The 18,178-nt window shown below is 39.3% G+C and overlaps 1 protein-coding gene across 3 annotated transcripts in view, besides 2 other annotated features; it reads right to left on the bottom strand.

Moving 5' to 3' along the window:
- DERA (deoxyribose-phosphate aldolase) overlaps window positions 1-18,178 on the bottom strand; it is a 126,050-nt gene that overhangs the window by 83,805 nt on the left and 24,067 nt on the right. The gene's annotated exons all lie outside the window — the stretch shown is intronic.
- Window positions 4,795-4,995: a silencer, noted in NCBI's record as "peak1581 fragment used in MPRA reporter construct". NCBI's record gives its function as "represses an SCP1 promoter by STARR-seq MPRAs in K562 erythroleukemia cells {active_cell/tissue: K562}" and the evidence as "EXISTENCE:reporter gene assay evidence [ECO:0000049][PMID:32103011]".
- Window positions 15,945-17,144: an enhancer, noted in NCBI's record as "BRD4-independent group 4 enhancer chr12:16089367-16090566 (GRCh37/hg19 assembly coordinates)". NCBI's record gives its function as "activates an origin of replication core promoter dependent on BRD2, P300/CBP, MED14 and CDK7 cofactors, and independent of BRD4, by STARR-seq in HCT116 cells {active_cell/tissue: HCT116}" and the evidence as "EXISTENCE:reporter gene assay evidence [ECO:0000049][PMID:35650434]".

The raw sequence follows: 18,178 nt of genomic DNA, 5'->3' as shown, positions 1-18,178 counted from the left end.
AATTCTCCAATGAAAAAAGTCCCACTATTTACCTTAATATGTCATTTTGGTGGTTTTTAGGCCCTTGTGTTGGTTATAAATTTGTCCTCAAATACTCTTCTCACAATTTATTATTATTATTATTTCTGGTTCAAGTCGTAGTGGAGATGGAGGTCATTTTCCCTGCAACTTTACTTTCTAGACTTTCCATCATTTTCATTTGTGTTTCTGCAGAAGTTCCTGTATTTTTCACAGTATTCCTAAAGCATGTAACACCAAATGATAACCCTACAAAAGGAGGCGCTTTTTCTATTTTGATTTTAACTTTGTTCCTCATACACAAAAATAAAAACTTACCACACTGGCTGGATAAAAAGTCAAGTTCAGAGGAAGGGTAGGTCACAGTAGGCTTATCCAGTTGGCTAAAACAACCCTAATGGATAAGTGGAGATTTCTGATTCACCGTAAAGCATTGTTTCTCAGTCTAGAGACATTTTTGGTCACCACAGATGGGGTAGGGGGATTCTAGAGGAGAAGGTGCCACTTGTATCTAGTGGGTAGAGGCCAAGGATACTGCTCAGTATCCTACAAGGCACCCACAACTTAGAATTATGTGGTCCCAAACTTCAACAGTGCCAAAGCTGAGAAACCCTGCCCAAAAAACTGGGCAGGATGCAGGAAAAATAAACCGGAAGCACTGCAAGTTTGTGGGGCTGTCAGAAGCAAAAGCAGGTTGGCTAAATGTGACTGAATGTGGCTTGTTTGACTGACTATGGCTTACTTGTAAAGTGCTGTAAGCACCAGGCTGAGTGTAGACATGCGCTGTCCAATCAGGAGCCACACACTTGTGCCTACCTGAGCCCTTGAAATGTGGATAGTCCAAATCGAAATGTGCTTTAAGTGTAAAATACATAGATTTCAAAGATTCAGTACAAAAAGAAGGGTGTAAAATATCTAATTACGTTTTAACATTGATTTCACAATGAAATTATAATATTTGGGGTACACTTGGCTAAGTAAAATGCTATTAAAATATTTTCACCTGTTCCTTTTTATTTTTTTTATAATGTGTACACTTGAAAATTTAAAATGACTCCATGTCTCACATTATGTTTCTATTGGCTCTAGGCTCTAGTCTAGACTTTATGATACAGGTGACCAGAAGTCAGAGAAGATCTCCAAACAGGGCTGTAACAGAATTAAAGGAGTATTTTAAAAAAGTAATCAGTACACAGAATATGTCCCATGGAAATACGTACATAAGTTTGCAAATGCAAACATGAAAACGTATGTGTGGCAGCACTGTTGGAAATGACACCAAGATCCATGTCCAGTTCAATAATATATAGCAAATCCAAAAAACAGAATACAATTCAGCCATTAAAAAGAATGAAGTACAGGCCAGGTGCAGTGGCTCACGCCTGTAATCCCAGCACTTTGGGAGGCCGAGGCAGGCGGATCACGAGGTCAGGAGTTCGAGACCAGCCTGGTCAATATGGTGAAACCCTGTCTCCACTAAAAGCACAAAAATTAGCTGGGCATGGTGGTGCAAGCCTGTAGTCTCAGTAGTCAGGGGACTGAGGCAGAAGAATCGCTTGAACCTGGGAGGCGGAGGTTGCAGTGAGCTGAGATTGCGCCACTGTACTCTAGCCTGGGCAACAGAGCAAGACTCCGTCTCAAAAAAAAGAAAAAAAAAAAGAACGAGGTACATCAGTAAGTACTGTTGTAGAAAACTGATTATGATACATTACTCAGTAAAAATAAGAAATATGCACAGCAGTGTGCTTTTTAAAATAAAACTGTTAATAAAAACAAAAAGAACACAAAACATGTATCTGTTGGTGTATGTGCAAAGAAAATAAACTATATGCCAAATTGATAGAAGTGTTTTTCTTCAGAGGTAAGATTATATTCCTACTTTCTCACGTTATATATTCCCCTAATATTTAAACATTCTTACAAAGAGCATGCATTATCTTATTGAGCAGGAAATATAACACATAATAATACTTGACTCTTGAATTAAGAGGAACTGCCAGGCAGCAGTGTGAAGGACAGGTAGAATGAAAGGCAGACTACAGTAGGTAAACCAGTAAGGCAGCTGTCTGTGGTCCAGGCACCAGCATTATACAACACCTACCTGGGGCATTTTCACAGCTCTAAACCCTTCGTGATCAATCTTTGGCCACTGAGCTATTCCAGAAAGCCAGCCTGATACAGCTACACAATGTCAGGCAGAAATGATGATGTCAGAATGCCCTGTTTCTGTTCCCATAGAAAAGATCACCAAAATCTTCACCACAGGCCCCCAGGTAGAAACTGATAATTATATTGCTCCTACATGATGCCAACATTACAAAGGGATGAGATGGGCCCACACTCTACTTAGAGCCTGCTCTGGCCCACCCATAGCTGTGCTCCTACCCATGGGCAGGGGTCTGTGGGGCCAAGGGCACAGACTGTCCCTGGGCCAACATTCCCCTCTAGTCCATGCTCAAGGTACACAGGACCCAGAATTCCTAGATCAAATGGCTCCAGCCTTGTTTACAGAATCTGCAGGGATCTCTACCCAAAGTCAAGACTTACACAAGATACAAGACAGACAAGGGACAGAAAACCTCCTGGAGAGTTTGATAAATGCAAGTCTGTCTATGAATACCATTCATTCATTCAACTAATATCAAAGGGCTATCCAAAATGGTGCCAGACACCACTGGAGGCTCTAGAGAGTGAGCAGTGCTGAAAAAACAAAATCCTTATTCTCATAGGCCTTTCCTAATAAGAGATAAACACATAAATATCTATTAACTATATTATACATCTGAGCTACAATGAAAAGTTATATAGGGTAAGAAAATGGAGAATGTAGGATGGGCATGAGCCAGGAAAATCTGATAATAAAACATTTGAGCAGGACCCCACGTGAAATAAGCAATGAGGCCATCATATAGGGAAACAGTGTTCTAGGCAGAAATGTCAGAGGCATTTGAACCAGAGCAATTCCATCTTGCACAGGGGCTGGGTAAAATGAGGCTGAAACTTACTGGGCTGCATTCCCAGATGGTTAAGGCATTCTAAGTCACAGGATGAGACTGGAGGTCAACACAAAATACAGGTCATAAAGACCTTGCTGATAAAACAGGTTGCAGTAAAGAAGCCAGCTAAAACCCACCAAAACCAAAATGGCTATGAGAGTGACCTCTGGTCCTCCTCACTGCCACACTCCCACAAGTGCCATGACAGTTTACAAATGCCATGGCAACATCAGGAAGTTACCCTATATGGTCTAAAAAGGGGAGGCACAAATAATCCACCCTTTGTTTAGCATATAATCAGGAAATAACCATTAAAAATAGGCAACCAGAAGCCCTCAGGGCTGCTCTGTCTATGGAGCAACCATTCTTTTATTCCCTTACTTTTTTAATAAACTTGCTTTCACTTTACTCTGGACTCGCCCTAAATTCTTTCTTGTGCAAGATCCAAGAACCCTCTCTTGGGGTCTGTATCAGGACCCCTTTCTGGTAACAGAAAGAGGAGAAGGCAAGAGTGAACAGTCATATCTAAGGCAAAGCAGGGACACAGTGTAATCAGGGGAAAGTAGGCAAGGCCAGGTACGGGAAATGGAAGAGAGGGTGACAAGGCCCAGATCATATAGTAACATATTTTCCAAAATGAGGGTAATAACTCACAGATAAGTCATGAAATCAGTTTTGTCAGTGGCAACCGGCATTTTTAAAAAAGAAGAAACAGGTAGGTGGTTCCAAGATGGTAGAATAGGAACAGCTCCAGTCTACAGCTCCCAGCATGAGCAACGCAGAAGACGGGTGATTTCTGCATTTCCAACTGAGGTACCGGGTTCATCTCACTGGGGCTTGTCGGACAGTGGGTGCAGGACAGTGGGTGCAGCCCACTGAGCGTGAGCCGAAGCAGGGCGAGGCATCACCTCACCCAGGAAGCACAAGGGGTCAGGGAATTCCCCTCCCTAGCCAAGGGAAGCTGTGACAGATGGCACCTGGAAAATCGGGTCACTCCCACCCTAACACTGTGCTTTTCGAATCGTCTTAGCAAACGGCACACCAGGAGATTATATCCCACGCCCGGCTCAGAGGGTCCCACGCCCACGGAGCCTTGCTCATTGCTAGCACAGCAGTCTGAGATCAAACTACAAGGTGGCAGTGAGGCTGGGGGAGGGGTGCCTGCCATTGCTGAGGCCTGAATAGGTAAACAGAGCTGCTGGGAAGCTCGAACTGGGTGTAGCCCACCACCGCTCCAGGAGGCCTGCCTGCCTCTGTAGACTCCACTTCCAGGGGCAGGGCATAGCCAAACAAAAGGCAGCAGAAACCTCTGCAGACTTAAACGTCCCTATCTGACAGCTTTGAAGAGAGTAGTGGTTCTCCCAGCATGGAGTTTGAGATCTGAGAATGGACAGACTGCCTCCTCAAGTGGGTCTCTGACCCCTGAGTAGCCTAACTGGGAGGCACCCCCCAGTAGGAGCAGACTGACACCCCACACGGCCGGTTACCCCTCTGAGACGAAGCTCCCAGAGGAACGATCAGACAGCAACATTTGCTGTTCAGCAATATTCGCCGTTCTGCAGCCTCTGCTGCTGACACCAAGGCAAACAGGGTCTGGAGTGGACCTCCAGCAAACTCCAACAGACCTGCAGCTGAGGGTCCTGACTGTTAGAAGGAAAACTAACAAACAGAAAGGACATCCACACCAAAACCCCATCTGTACGTCACCATCATCAAAGACCAAAGGTAGATGAAACCACAAAGATGGGGGAAAAACAGAGCAGAAAAGCTGAAAATTCTAAAAATCAGAGTGCCTCTCCCCGTCCAAAGGAACGCAGCTTCTCGCCAGCAACAGAACAAAGCTGGACAGAGAATGACTTTGACGAGTTGAGAGAAGATAGCTTCAGATGATCAAACTACTCCGAGCTAAAAGAGGAAGTTCGACCAGTCGCAAAGAAGATAAAAACCTTCAAAAAAAAGATTAGACGAATTGCTAACTAGAATAACCAGTGTAGAGAAGTCCTTAAATGACCTGATGGAGCTGAAAACCATGGCACGAGAGCTACATGATGAATACACAAGCTTCAGTAGCTGATTCGATCAACTGGAAGAAAGGGTATCAATGATTCAAGATCAAATGTATGAAATGAAGTGAGAAGTTTAGAGAAAAAAGAGTAAAAAGAAACAAACAAAGCCTCCAAGAAATATGGGACTATGTGAAAAGACCAAATCTACACCTGATTGGTGTACCTGAAAGTGATGGGGAGAATGGAACCAAGTTGGAAAACACTCTGCAGGATATTATCCAGGAGAACTTCCCCAACCTAGCAAGGCAGGCCAACATTCAAATTCAGGAAATACAGAGAACGCCACAAAGATACTCCTCGAGAAGAGCAACTCCAAGACACCTAACTGTCAGATTCACCAAAGTTGAAATGAAGGAAAAAATGTTAAAGGCAGCCAGAGAGAAAGGTTGGGTTACCCATAAAGGGAAGCCCATCAGACAAACAGTTGATCTCTCAGCAGAAACTCTACAAGCCTGAAGAGAATGGGGGCCAATATTCAACATTCTTAAAGAAAAGAATTTTCAACCCAGAATTTCATAACCAGCCAAACTAAGCTTCCAGTGAAGGAGAAATAAAATTCTTGACAAGCAAATGCTGAGAGATTTTCTCACCACCAGGCCTGCCCTAAAAGAGCTCCTGAAGGAAGCACTAAATGTGGAAAGGAACAACCGGTACCAGCCACTGAAAAAACATGCCAAATTGTAAAGACCGTCAATGCTAGGAAGAAACTGCATCAACTAACAAGCAAAATAACCAGCTAACATCATAATGACGGGATCAAATTCACACAGAACAATATTAACCTTAAATGTAAATGGGCTAAATGGTCCAATTAAAAGACACAGACTGGCAAATTGGATAAAGAGTCAAGACCCATCAATGTGCTGTATTCAGGAGACCCATCTCACATGCAGAGACACACATAGGATGAAAATAAAGGGATGGAGGAAGATCTACCAAGCAAATGGAAAACAATAAAAAGGCAGGGGTTGCAATCCTATTCGCTGACAAAACAGACCTTAAACCAACAAATATGAAAAGAGACAAAGAAGGCCATTAGATAATGGTAAAGAGATCAATTCAACAAGAAGAGCTAACTACCCTAAATATATATGCACCCAACACAGGAGCACCCAGATTCATAAAGCAAGTCCTTAGAGACCTACAAAGAGACTCAGACTCCCACACAATAATCATGGGAGACTTTAACACCCCATTGTCAACATTAGACAGATCAACGAGACAGAAAGTTAACAAGGATATCCAGGAATTGAACTAATCTCTGCACCAAGCAGACCTAATAGACATCTACAGAACTCTCCACCCTAAATCAACAGACTATACATTCCTCTCAGCACCATATCACACTTATTCCAAAATTGACCACATAGTTGGAAGTAAAGCACTCCAGAAATTATAACAAACTGTCTCTCAAACCACAGTGCAATCAAACTAGAAATCAGGATTAAGAAACTCACTCAAAACTGCTCAACTACATGGAAACTGAACAACCTGCTCCTGAATAACTACTGGGTACATAATGAAATGAAGGCAGAAATAAAGATGTTCTTTGAAACCAATGAGAACAAAGTTATAACATACCAGAATCTCTGGGACACATTTAAAGCAGTGTGTAGAGTGAAATTTATAGCACTAAATGCCCACAGGAAAAAGCAGGAAAGATCTAAAATTGACACCCTAACATCACAATTAAAAGAACTAGAGAAGCAAGAGCGAACACATTTAACAGCTAGCAGAAGGCAAAAAATAACTGAGATCAGAGCAGAACTAAAGGAGATAGAGACACAAAAAACCCTTCGAAAAATCAATGAATCCAGGAGCTGGTTTTTTGAAAAGATCAACAAAATTGATAGACTGCTAGCAAGACTAATAAAGAAGAAAACAGAGAAGAATCAAATAGATGCAATAAAAAAAAAAGGGGATATCACCACCAATCCCACAGAAACACAAACTACCATCAGAGAATACTATAAACACCTCTATGCAAATAAACTAGAAAATCTAGAAGAAATGGATAAATTCCTGGACACATACATCCTCCCAAGACTAAACCAGGAAGAAGTTGAATCCCTGAATAGACCAATAACAGGCTCTGAAATTGAGGCAATAATCAATACCTTACCAACCAAAAAAAGTCCAGGACCAGACAGATTCACAGCCGAATTCTACCAGAGGTACAAGGAGGAGCTGGTAGCATTCCTTCTGAAACTATTCCAATCAATAGAAAAAGAGGGAATCCTCCCTGACTCATTTTATGAGGCCAGCATCATCCTGATACCAAAGCCTAGCAGAGACACAACAAAAAGAGAGAATTTTAGACCAATATCCCTGATGAACATCGATGCAAAAATCCTCAATAAAATACTGGCAAACCGAATCCAGCAGCACATCAAAAAGCTTATCCACCATGATCAAGTGGGCTTCATCCCTGGGATGCAAGGCTGGTTCAACGTACACAAATCAATAAATGTAATCCAGCATATAAACAGAAGCAAAGACAAAAACCACATTATCTCAATAGATGCAGAAAAGGCCTTTGACAAAATTCAACAGCCCTTCTTGCTAAAAATTCTCAATAAATTAGGTATTGATGGGACATATCTCAAAATAATAAGAGCTATTTATGACAAACTCACAGCCAATATCATACTGAATGCACAAAAACTGGAAGCATTCCCTTTGAAAACTGAAAGAAGACAGGGATGCCCTCTCTCACCCACCACTCCTATTCAACATAGTGTTGGAAGTTCCGGCCAGGGCAATCAGGCAGGAGAAAGAAATAAAGGGTATTCAATTAGAAAAAGAGGAAGTCAAATTGTACCTGTTTGCAGATGACACGATTGTATATCTAGAAAACCCCATCGTCTCAACCCCAAATCTCCTTAAGCTGATAAGCAACTTCAGCAAAGTCTCAGGATACAAAATCAATGTGCAAAAATCACAAGCCTTCTTATACACCAATAACAGACAGAGAGCCAAATCATGAGTGAACTCCCATTCACTATTGCTTCAAAGAGCATAAAATACCTAGGAATCCAACTTACAAGGGATGTGAAGGACCTCTTCAAGGAGAACTACAAACCACTGCTCAACGAAATCAAAGAGGACACAAACAAATGGAAGAACATTCCATGCTCATGGATAGGAAGAATCAATATCGTGAAAATGGCCATACTGCCCAAGGTAATTTATAGATTCAATGCCATCCCCATCAAGCTACTAATGACTTTCTTCACAGAATTGGAAAAAACTACTTGAAAGTTCATATGGAACCAAAAAACAGCCCACATTGCCAAGACAATCCTAAGCCAAAAGAACAAAGCTGGAGGTATCACGCTACCTGACTTCAAACTATACTACAAGGCTACAGTAACCAAAACAGCATGGTACTGGTACCAAAACAGAGATATAGACCAATGGAACAGAATTGAGCCCTCAGAAATAATACCACACGTCTACAATCATCTAATCTTTGACAAACCTGACAAAAACAAGAAACGGGGAAAGGATTCCCTATTTAACAAATGATGCTGGCAAAACTGGCTAGCCATATGTAGAAAGCTGAAACTGGATCCCTTCCTTACACCTTAGACAAAAATTAATTCAAGATGGATTAAAGACTTAAATGTTAGACCTAAAACCATAAAAACCCTAGAAGAAAACCTAGGCAATACCATTCAGGACATAGGCATGAGCAAGGACTTCATGTCTAAAACACCAAAAGCAATGGCAACAAAAGCCAAAATTGACAAATGGGATCTAATTAAACTAAAGAGCTTCTGCACAGCAAAAGAAACTACCATTAGAGTGAACAGGCAACCTACAGAATGGGAGAAAATTTTTGCCATCTATCCATTTGACAAAGGGCTAATATCCAGAATATACAAAGAACTCAAACAAACTTACAAGAAAAAATCAAACAACCCCATCAAAAAGTGGGCGAAGGATATGAACAGACACTTCTCAAAAGAAGACATTTATGCAGCCAAAAAACACATGAAAAAATGCTCATCATCACTGGCCATCAGAGAAATGCAAATCAAAACCACAATGAGATACCATCTCACACCAGTTAGAAGGGCAATCATTAAAAAGTCAGGAAACAACAGGTGCTGGAGAGGATGTGGAGAAATAGGAACACTTTTACACTGTTGTTGGGAGTGTAAACTAGTTCAACCATTGTGGAAGACAGTGTGGCGACTCCTCAAGGATCTAGAACTAGAAATACCATTTAATCCAGCCATCCCATTACTGGATATATACCCAAAGGATTATAAATCATGCTGCTATAAAGACACATGCACATGTATGTTCATTGCGGCACTATTCACAAAAGCAAAGACTTGGAACCAACCCAAATGTCCATCAATGATACCCTGGATTAAGGAAATGTGGCACATATACACCATGGAATACTAAGCAGCCATAAAGAAGGATGAGTTCATGTCCTTTGTAGGGACATGGATGAAGCTGGAAACCATCATTCTCAGCAAACTATCACAAGGACAAAAAACCAAACACCGCATGTTCTCACTCATAGGTGGGAATTGAACAATGAGAACACTTGGACACAGGAAGGGGAACATCACACACCAGGGTCTGTCGTGGGGTGGGGGGAGGGGGGAGGGATAGCATTAGGAGAAATACGTAATGTAAATGACGAGTTAATGGCTACAGCACACCAACATGGCACATGTATACACATGTAACAAACCTGCACATTGTGCATATGTATCCTAGAACTTAAAGTATAATAAAATAAATAAATAAATAAATAAATAAATAAATAAAAATTAAAAAATAAAAAAGAAGAAACAGAAAATAGAAAATGTCAAGATACAGCACATGTTATACAGGTAGGATCATTCGTGGAAGTTCTGTTTCAAACCCGTGTGTACTGTGTGGCATGTACTGTGTGGCAATATAAAATACAATGCATATGGTGAGCCATGGCCAACAGGGTTTAAAAGGTCCTTAAGGAGAACTTTTTTCAGCACAGAAAGGTTTTCCCATGTGAGATGGGAAGTCTTTTAGAGAATTTTCAGCAAGGGCTGAAATGATCTGATTTACATTTTTAAATAACCCCTCTGGCTGTGGTGCGAAAGTCAAGTAGGAAGCTCAAGCAAGAGCAGGTGGTGGCCTGTACCAAATCACTAAAAGGAATACAGTGGAGGGGGTCAAAATCTCATCAATCAACTGACTATTGCTTTTCTACTCTGCGTTTAAAATTTGTCTTCAAACAAATAAGAGCTACTCAATCTCTGGTGCTGTTATTCTCACCTGGAGAGTGAAAAGTCAAAGATTCAGAAGCATCTGTAAGATTCACAAAGCACAAAATTCAAAGAAGAGCTTCCTCTGCTCACTACCCATAAACAGCCTCAGGTAAGTGTGTGGAAGAGTTTACAGATTAGAACACACTGTCAGGGGTGACATCGCTGTCCCTCTCCCCAACCACTCTATGCTCTAAGTAACTACTGAAGTCAAATTTGATAGCTCTTCCCAATATGGTCCAACTACTGCTGAGCTTTGGTCCTCACTAGAGTGACCACCTCATCCTGGGTTGCCCAAGACAAGCCTGGTTTATGCCTCCTGTCCCCTCTGTGTTAGCATTCATCTTCTATATTTCATTTCTTAACAAAGTTGAAAATAAACCAAGATGCATTTGGGAGACTCCAGCTTCTCTTCTCTCACGGTCTCCAGCAATGTCGCACAGCACGTGAGAGCCCGGTGCAGTGAATAGTGTTACTTTACCAAGTGTTTCACTCTAAAAGAAAACCAAAACTTGACTCTCTTCCCCACTCTCCTGGACATAACAAAACTAACACTCCCAGCATGCCAGGCATTCACTGATTACTGAGGGTACTCAGAATATTCGTGGCTACTCTATTCAATAAATGGTGCTAGGAAAACTGGCAAGCCAGATGTATAAAAATGAAATTGGATCCCCATCTCTTGCCTTATACAAAAATCATCTCAAGACAGATGAAAGACAAATCTAAGATCTGAAACCATAAAAATGCTAGAAGATAACATCAGAAAAACTCTTCTGGATGTTAGCTTAAGTAAACAATTCATGACTAAGACCCCAAAAGCAAATGCAACAACAACAAAAATAAATAAATGGGACCTAATTAAACTAAGAAGCTTCTGCACAGCAAAAAAAAATTAGCAAAGTTAACAGACAACCCACAGAGTGGGAGTAAATATTCGCAAACTATGCATCCGACAAAAGAATAGCATTCAGAATCTACAAGGAACTCAAACAAATCAGCAAGAAAAAAACAAGTAATCCCATTAAAAGTGGGCAAAGGACATAAATAGACATTTCTCAAAAGAAGATATACAAATAACCAACAAACATATTTTTAAAAAGGTCAACATCACTAATTATCAGGGAAATGCAAATTAAAACCACAATGAGACACCACTTTACTCCTGCAAGAATGACCATAATTAAAAAGTCAAAAAATAATAGACGTTGATATAAATGTGGTGAAAAGGGAACACTTTTACATTGGTGATGGGAATGTAAATTAGTACAACCACTACAGAAAACAGTACGGGGATTCCTTAAAGAACTTACCATTCAATCCAGCAATCCCACTATTAGGTATCTTCCCAAAGGAAAAGAAGTCATTATATGAAAAAGACAACATGCACATGTATGTTTATTGCAGCACATTTTGCAAATGCAAAGATACGGAATCAACCTAAGTGCCCATGAATCAATAAGTGGATAAAGAAAATGTGGTATATATACATCATGGAGTACTGAGCCATAAAAGGAAACGAAATAATGTCTTTTGCAGCAACTTGGGTGGAGCTGGAGGCCACAGTTCTAAGTGAAGTAACTCAGGAATGGAAAACCAAACATCCTATGATCTCACTTATAAGTGGGGGCTAAGCTGTGAGGACACAAAGGCATAAGGATGATATAGCGAACTCTGAGGATTCAGCGGGAGAGAATAGGGAGGGGTGAGGAATAAAAGACTACATATTAGGTACAGCGTACATTGCTAGGGTGATGGGTACACTAAAATCTCAGAAATCACCACTAAAGAACTTAACCATGTAATCCAAAACCACCTGTACCTCAAAAACTATTGAAATTAAAAAAAAAATTGTGGCTACAGACGGCTAAGTCCTTCTACTCTTGGGTGGCAGTAGGAGAAGTATTCAACACTGTTGTGTCTCTGTTATACCCATTTGCTATAGCAGCTAGTTGAGCCCCGGCCTGAGCTCAATCATGCAAGAGACACAAACACACAACACCCACAGTCAGTAGGTCAATGAGCCGCTACTGTAGATTAGGTGAACATGAAATATGTACGGGAAATCACTAGGTTCCTTGCAGAGAGCACACTGAAAGCAATGCTTTTATGATTTATCAAATTCTGTAAATCTAAACTATTTTCTTTGGGTCAGGCTTTTTAATTCTACAACAACAACAAAAACTATCAGTTACAATGACCTCACAAAAAGTATGTTTAATAAAAAATTTTACTCTCAATTCCCATTTCTCAGGAAAGTTGATTATCTGCAATTTGCACAAAATGTTTTTCAACATTTGCCACGTGCTATGGAAACCAAAGATATCTATCTATCTATCTATTTATATATCAGACTCCAGGATGACCTAAATCTGCTAAAAAGCATCGGTATCTACCTCAAAAAATTAGTAGTTATGTTAGGATGCCTGTGTCCAAAGATGGCAATTTAACACATATTCAGAAGATACAGTTACCAGAAAACTCTGAAGCATGACTTCCATTTAAATAAATGACTATTCTAAATATTGCTCACTTTTAGATCTAAATTTTCTAGTGAATGTGTAAGAAGTAAAGCAGGCCGGATGCGGTGGCTCACGCCTGTAATCCCAGCATTTTGGGAGGTCGAGGAGGGCAGATCACGAGGTCAGGAGATCAAGACCATCTTGGCTAACATGGTGAAACTCTGTCTCTACTACAAATACAAAAAATCAGCCAGGTGTGGTGGCATGCGCCTGTAGTCCCAGCTACTCGAGAGGCTGAGGCAGAAGAATCGTTTGAACCCGGGAGGTGGAGGTTGCAGTGAGCCAAGATCATGCCACTGTACTCCAGCCTGTGTAACAGAGCCAGACTCCATCTCAAATAAAAAAATAATAATAAAATAAAATAAAAAAAGGAAAGCAGTAGTTATTAAGTTGTTGGCTCCAAAAATACTAGAAAATATCAGTTTCATAGCAGAGTCATAGATGCCTCAAACAGAAAATCAGTTAATTTGAATATTGACTCATTTTAAAAATCTAATTTATCAAATAAAAAAACCGGAAGTCTATTTTGCTGAAGATAAAATAACTGACATTGTTGTGACTACCACTATAAATTCAGTTAAAGAGGTTAGGATAAACACATAATTATGTGATTTTGCAGTGACAACATGGATACAAATTTTGTTGTAGTATCATGGTAAAAATATGTTCTTATTAAATTAGGAAACCTATGGAACAGAAATATACCTGGATCTCTTTGTGACAGACACATAATTCATAATTTCATCCAAATATGCTTCCATAGTCTAACAACTAAAGTAAAAGCTGTCATTGCCAAATTTTAAACATTTTATTTATACACAGAATAAAAGAACGATCTGATCTTTGTGAAAAAGGTGACATTAAATTAAACATAAATCTTTCTTCATGGCAATACACACACTCTCTCTGCTGATTCTCATCAGCTGAATACTAGAAACATCTGATTCTTTGAAGAGTTAAGAGCCATTCTGTCAATTAATCTAAGCTGATGTACACTGGTCTTGAACTATCTTCTAAATGAGGCCTTTAAATGTTGGCTTTTTTTTTTCAAAATCAGTTGAAAATCTTTTATTTAAAAAAATATTAAATAAAACACCAAAGCCTCTTGTTTTTGAAACTGTTAGTGAACTTCAATTATTAATGACAATTTTGCAAAGAGGGAGACATAAAATTTACTCCTACAAAAGAATGGATTTGAACAAATTAAATAATGAGATTTCAACTAGTATACATGGGGTTAATTTTAAAATTCTAAAGTTGCACTTTGGAATACTTCAACTTGTCTCTTTTGACTGTCTTTTGTTACATAACAACCACCACAAAACATTGTGGCTAAAAACAGCAGTCATTCTATTTCTCCTGACAGGTTGACTGGGGCTCAGCTGAGTGGTTGTGCTGCTGCTTTCACTTTAGATCTCTTGTGTGGCTAAACTCAGATGGTGGCTGGGACTGGGAAATGCAAGATGATTTCACTCATATTTCTGATACCTTGAAGGGTACGGCTGGAAGACTGGGCTCTGCTGGGACATTAAGTCTCCTTCTTTCTCTCCATGTAGTCCTCAAACCTCTCCCTTTCCAAGTGCCTTTTCCAACAAGGTAGCTGAATTTCTTAATAGGCAGCTCAGAGCACCCAAAATTGTTGAAGCAGCTGTAGAGCAACACTTCTACCATATTCCATTGGTTAAAGGGACTTACAGGGTCAGCCCAGAATTAATGCAGTACAGGACTACACAAAGGCATCAATACCAGAGACGTGGTCCATCTCTGGAGACTAGCTACCACAAGCTCCTATTTTAAATTAGATAAGCTTACATTCTGTACTGGAAAGAAATGAAATTGAGAAGACTTTTAATTTTACAGTATTTGAATTAGCAAAATATCCCAAAGGATCATAAACAGAAACATCTTATTTGACAAGTTTTGTCTTATAAAAATATTTACTATTTTGTCTCAGAATGGAGGCAAAAATATATTAGCTGTGAAAACATTTCTGGTAAAATATTTACACATTTCAATTAAAAAATGTGAATTGAAAATATCCTCCATTTATAGAATGTGCTAAATTTACCAAGTATCTCAACACTTATAGAGAAAATATTTTCTCAATTTTAAAAACACATTTCATGGGTAAGAATCAATTGAAAACTATCAAGAATTTTAAACTTAATAAACACAAAATGCAACTTAGACACATAGATTGATACAGCTAAGAAGCTTATTAAAGCAGAGTAATAATTCAACTTGTGTTGTTTTATAATGCTGAGATAATATAAATACATTTTTTGGCTTTGATGTACATGAGTATATTTTAGTGTTAGAATGAATTTTTTACTGTTTGAATGGAACTATTTTCTCTTGAACAGAAGATCTACCAATAAAATAAAGGCAATGTATCATTCAATATTTTTAATTATATAATTTTAAGTATTTTTAGTGCTCCCTTTTGCTGTCAAAAGTGTCTAATTTGCATGCTAAGTCACCCTAACAAATATCCAAGTCAATGTCATTTCTGAGCAACTTTCTCCAGCTCCTCAACCACTAAGTCTTCCTCTGGGCTCCACTGAACCTTAACAGATCAATATTACAACTCTTACCCAAGTCAGTAAATAAATATTTAGGTGTTCATTGTCTATCAGGCCCTGGCACATAATCCAGTGGTTATGTTGTGATAGTTGAATTATTTACTTGGATGTTGCCAACAAGATATTAGAGCTTCCTCAAAACAAAGGGATTCAGACTACTTCATTAATAACAGCCCAGCTCCTCATCACTGTACTTAACTGACACATAGCAAATGTTCTACAAATATTTGATGAATTGATGACAAAAACACATAACTTAATGAAAAAGGGAGCTGGTAATTTGGGGAAGCCCTGATACACCAGAATAAAGGAAGTATAGCCATTCACTTAACCAAGATTAATTAAGTAACTACTACTTGATAAACAAACTTAAAAAGAAAGGGACATCTAGGGGCAAGGAAAAAGGATTCAAAACCACAAATATTGTGCAGTTAGTGTTAACCACCAAAGGAGAAGGGAGAAGAAAAACATGTAATTTAACAACATAAGAATCAAACTAAAGCAAACTACATTATTTTGTAACCCTTAATGAAATAATACATTAGCATTACCAATGGATGCTAAAGACACTGGGTAAAAAGTTAATGAAAAATGAGACATTCACATGGTATTGGAGTATCAACTCATACAGGACATGCAGGTCAAAGCGGGAAACTGGAACTATACTACTGGCGGATGTGGCTATAATCTCCTTAAGCAAATGATCAAACTTAACTTCACTTATAATGGGATAGCCAGGCACTCATTCTGTGCCTCATGATATGATATGTAAAATACACAGCATCGCTTCTGAAGTACTTTTACCAGAACTGTTTAATCTGAATCGAATCAAGTTTTAGATATAACTTCCAAATTAAAGAAAATACAGGCTGGGCACAGTGGCTCACATATATAATCTTAGCACTTTGGAAAGCCAAGATGGGAAGATCGCTAGAGCCCAGGAGTTGGAGATCAGCCTGGGCAATATGGTGAGACCCTGTCTCTACAAAAAAATTAAAAATTAGCCAGGTCGTGCTGGTGCATGCCAGTGGTCCCAGCTATACAGGAGGCTGAGCCCAGGAGCTTGAGGCTTCAGTGAACCATGTTCATGCCACTGCACTCTGGCTTGGGCAATAGAGCAAGATACTATCTCAAAAAAGAAAGACAAGACAGGGCAGGGCAGGGCAGGACAGGACGGGACAGGACAAGACAGGACAGGACAGGACAGGACAGGACAGGACAGGACAGGACAGGACAAGACAAGACAAGACAAGACAAGACAAGACAAGACAACACAAGACAGAAGATGCAGAAATAAGTTAAATGACATCACTAGAAAATAATCAGACAAATCCGGGTGGTGAGACAATCTACACAAAACATAACCCAGTATAATGATACTAAAAAGGGAGTTCTGCTCTAAAGGAAGACAAACACAACTGAATAAAATACATAGTCTTCATTTGTATCATGGCTTGGATTAACCAGCTATAAAATACATTACATTTTGGGGACAACTGAACAAATTTAAATATGGTCTCAGTATTAGATGTTAACCAGGAATTATTTCAAATTTGGATACTGTGACAATGATGTTATGGTACTGTAAGAAAATATATTAATTTCTTTAAAGTGCAAACTTTTTATGTCTATGAGTGAAAGAAAGAGAGGGCGGCAAGGGCCAGATCATATAGTAAAATGTTTTCCAAAATGTCTATAATTTTAAGATATTGCAGAAAAAACTGCCAACACAAACAGTAAATTATTAATGTGTTAGGTCATGACAGATATATGAGTGTTCTTTATACTAGTCCTACTTTTCTGAATGTTTGAAATCTTTAGCCATAGGAAGAAACTAATACAAAAGCAAGTTAAAATAATTAACATAGCAAATAAGGGAAACGGGTAGCTAGCCTCAAAAATGACCCACAATGATTCTCTCCTCCTAGTATTCATGCCCCTTCCATAATTAACAGAGCTGACCTATGTAACCAAGTGGAGATTGTGGAAATACCCACGTGTGACTTCAATATTTGGTAAGAAAACACATGGTGGCTTTTGCCTTCCTACTTGGATCACTCGAGAAGCCAGCTGCCATGTCATAAGGATACTCAAGCAACCCTAAGAGGGTGTTCACATGGTAAAGGGCTGAGGCTTCTCACCAGGTGTCAGCACTAAGCTGCCAACCATATGGGTGAGCCACTTTGGAATCAGATCCTCTAGCTCCAGCCAAACCTTCAGGTGATGGCTGCCTGGGCCAATAACTTGATTGCAACCTCATGAGAGACCCCAAGCCAGAACCACCCAGCTAAGCCATTCTCAAATTTTTGACCCAGAGAAATGTTGTGAGATAATAAATGCTTATTGTTTCAGGCCCCTAAATTTTGGAGTAATATATTACACAACAACAAACAACATATAGAAACCAATATGAAAAGATTCTAGTAGCAACCTGCTTCATAAAAATAAAATGGCAGACTAGGAATTATTTTATTTTTATCTTCCCCAACTTTAAAATGTAAATATTTAAAATCCCACTAATAAAAATAAATAAATCAAATTACACTGAAACTGGTACAGATATGTGAAAACTGAACATATATTATACCTCAATGAAATTTCTTTTTAAAAATTATAGTGAAACTTTTTATTTTTTTGAGACAGGGTCTCACTCTGTTGCCCAGGCTGGAGTGCAGTGGCATAATCATTGCTCACTGCAACTTCCACCTCCCGGGTTCAAGCAAT

This window comes from Homo sapiens, chromosome 12 (assembly GCF_000001405.40).
Source record: "Homo sapiens chromosome 12, GRCh38.p14 Primary Assembly".
Taxonomy (NCBI): Eukaryota; Metazoa; Chordata; class Mammalia; order Primates; family Hominidae; genus Homo; species Homo sapiens.
The sequence above is the reverse complement of the archived record's forward strand: the minus strand, read 5'-3'. Positions and strand labels throughout refer to the sequence as shown.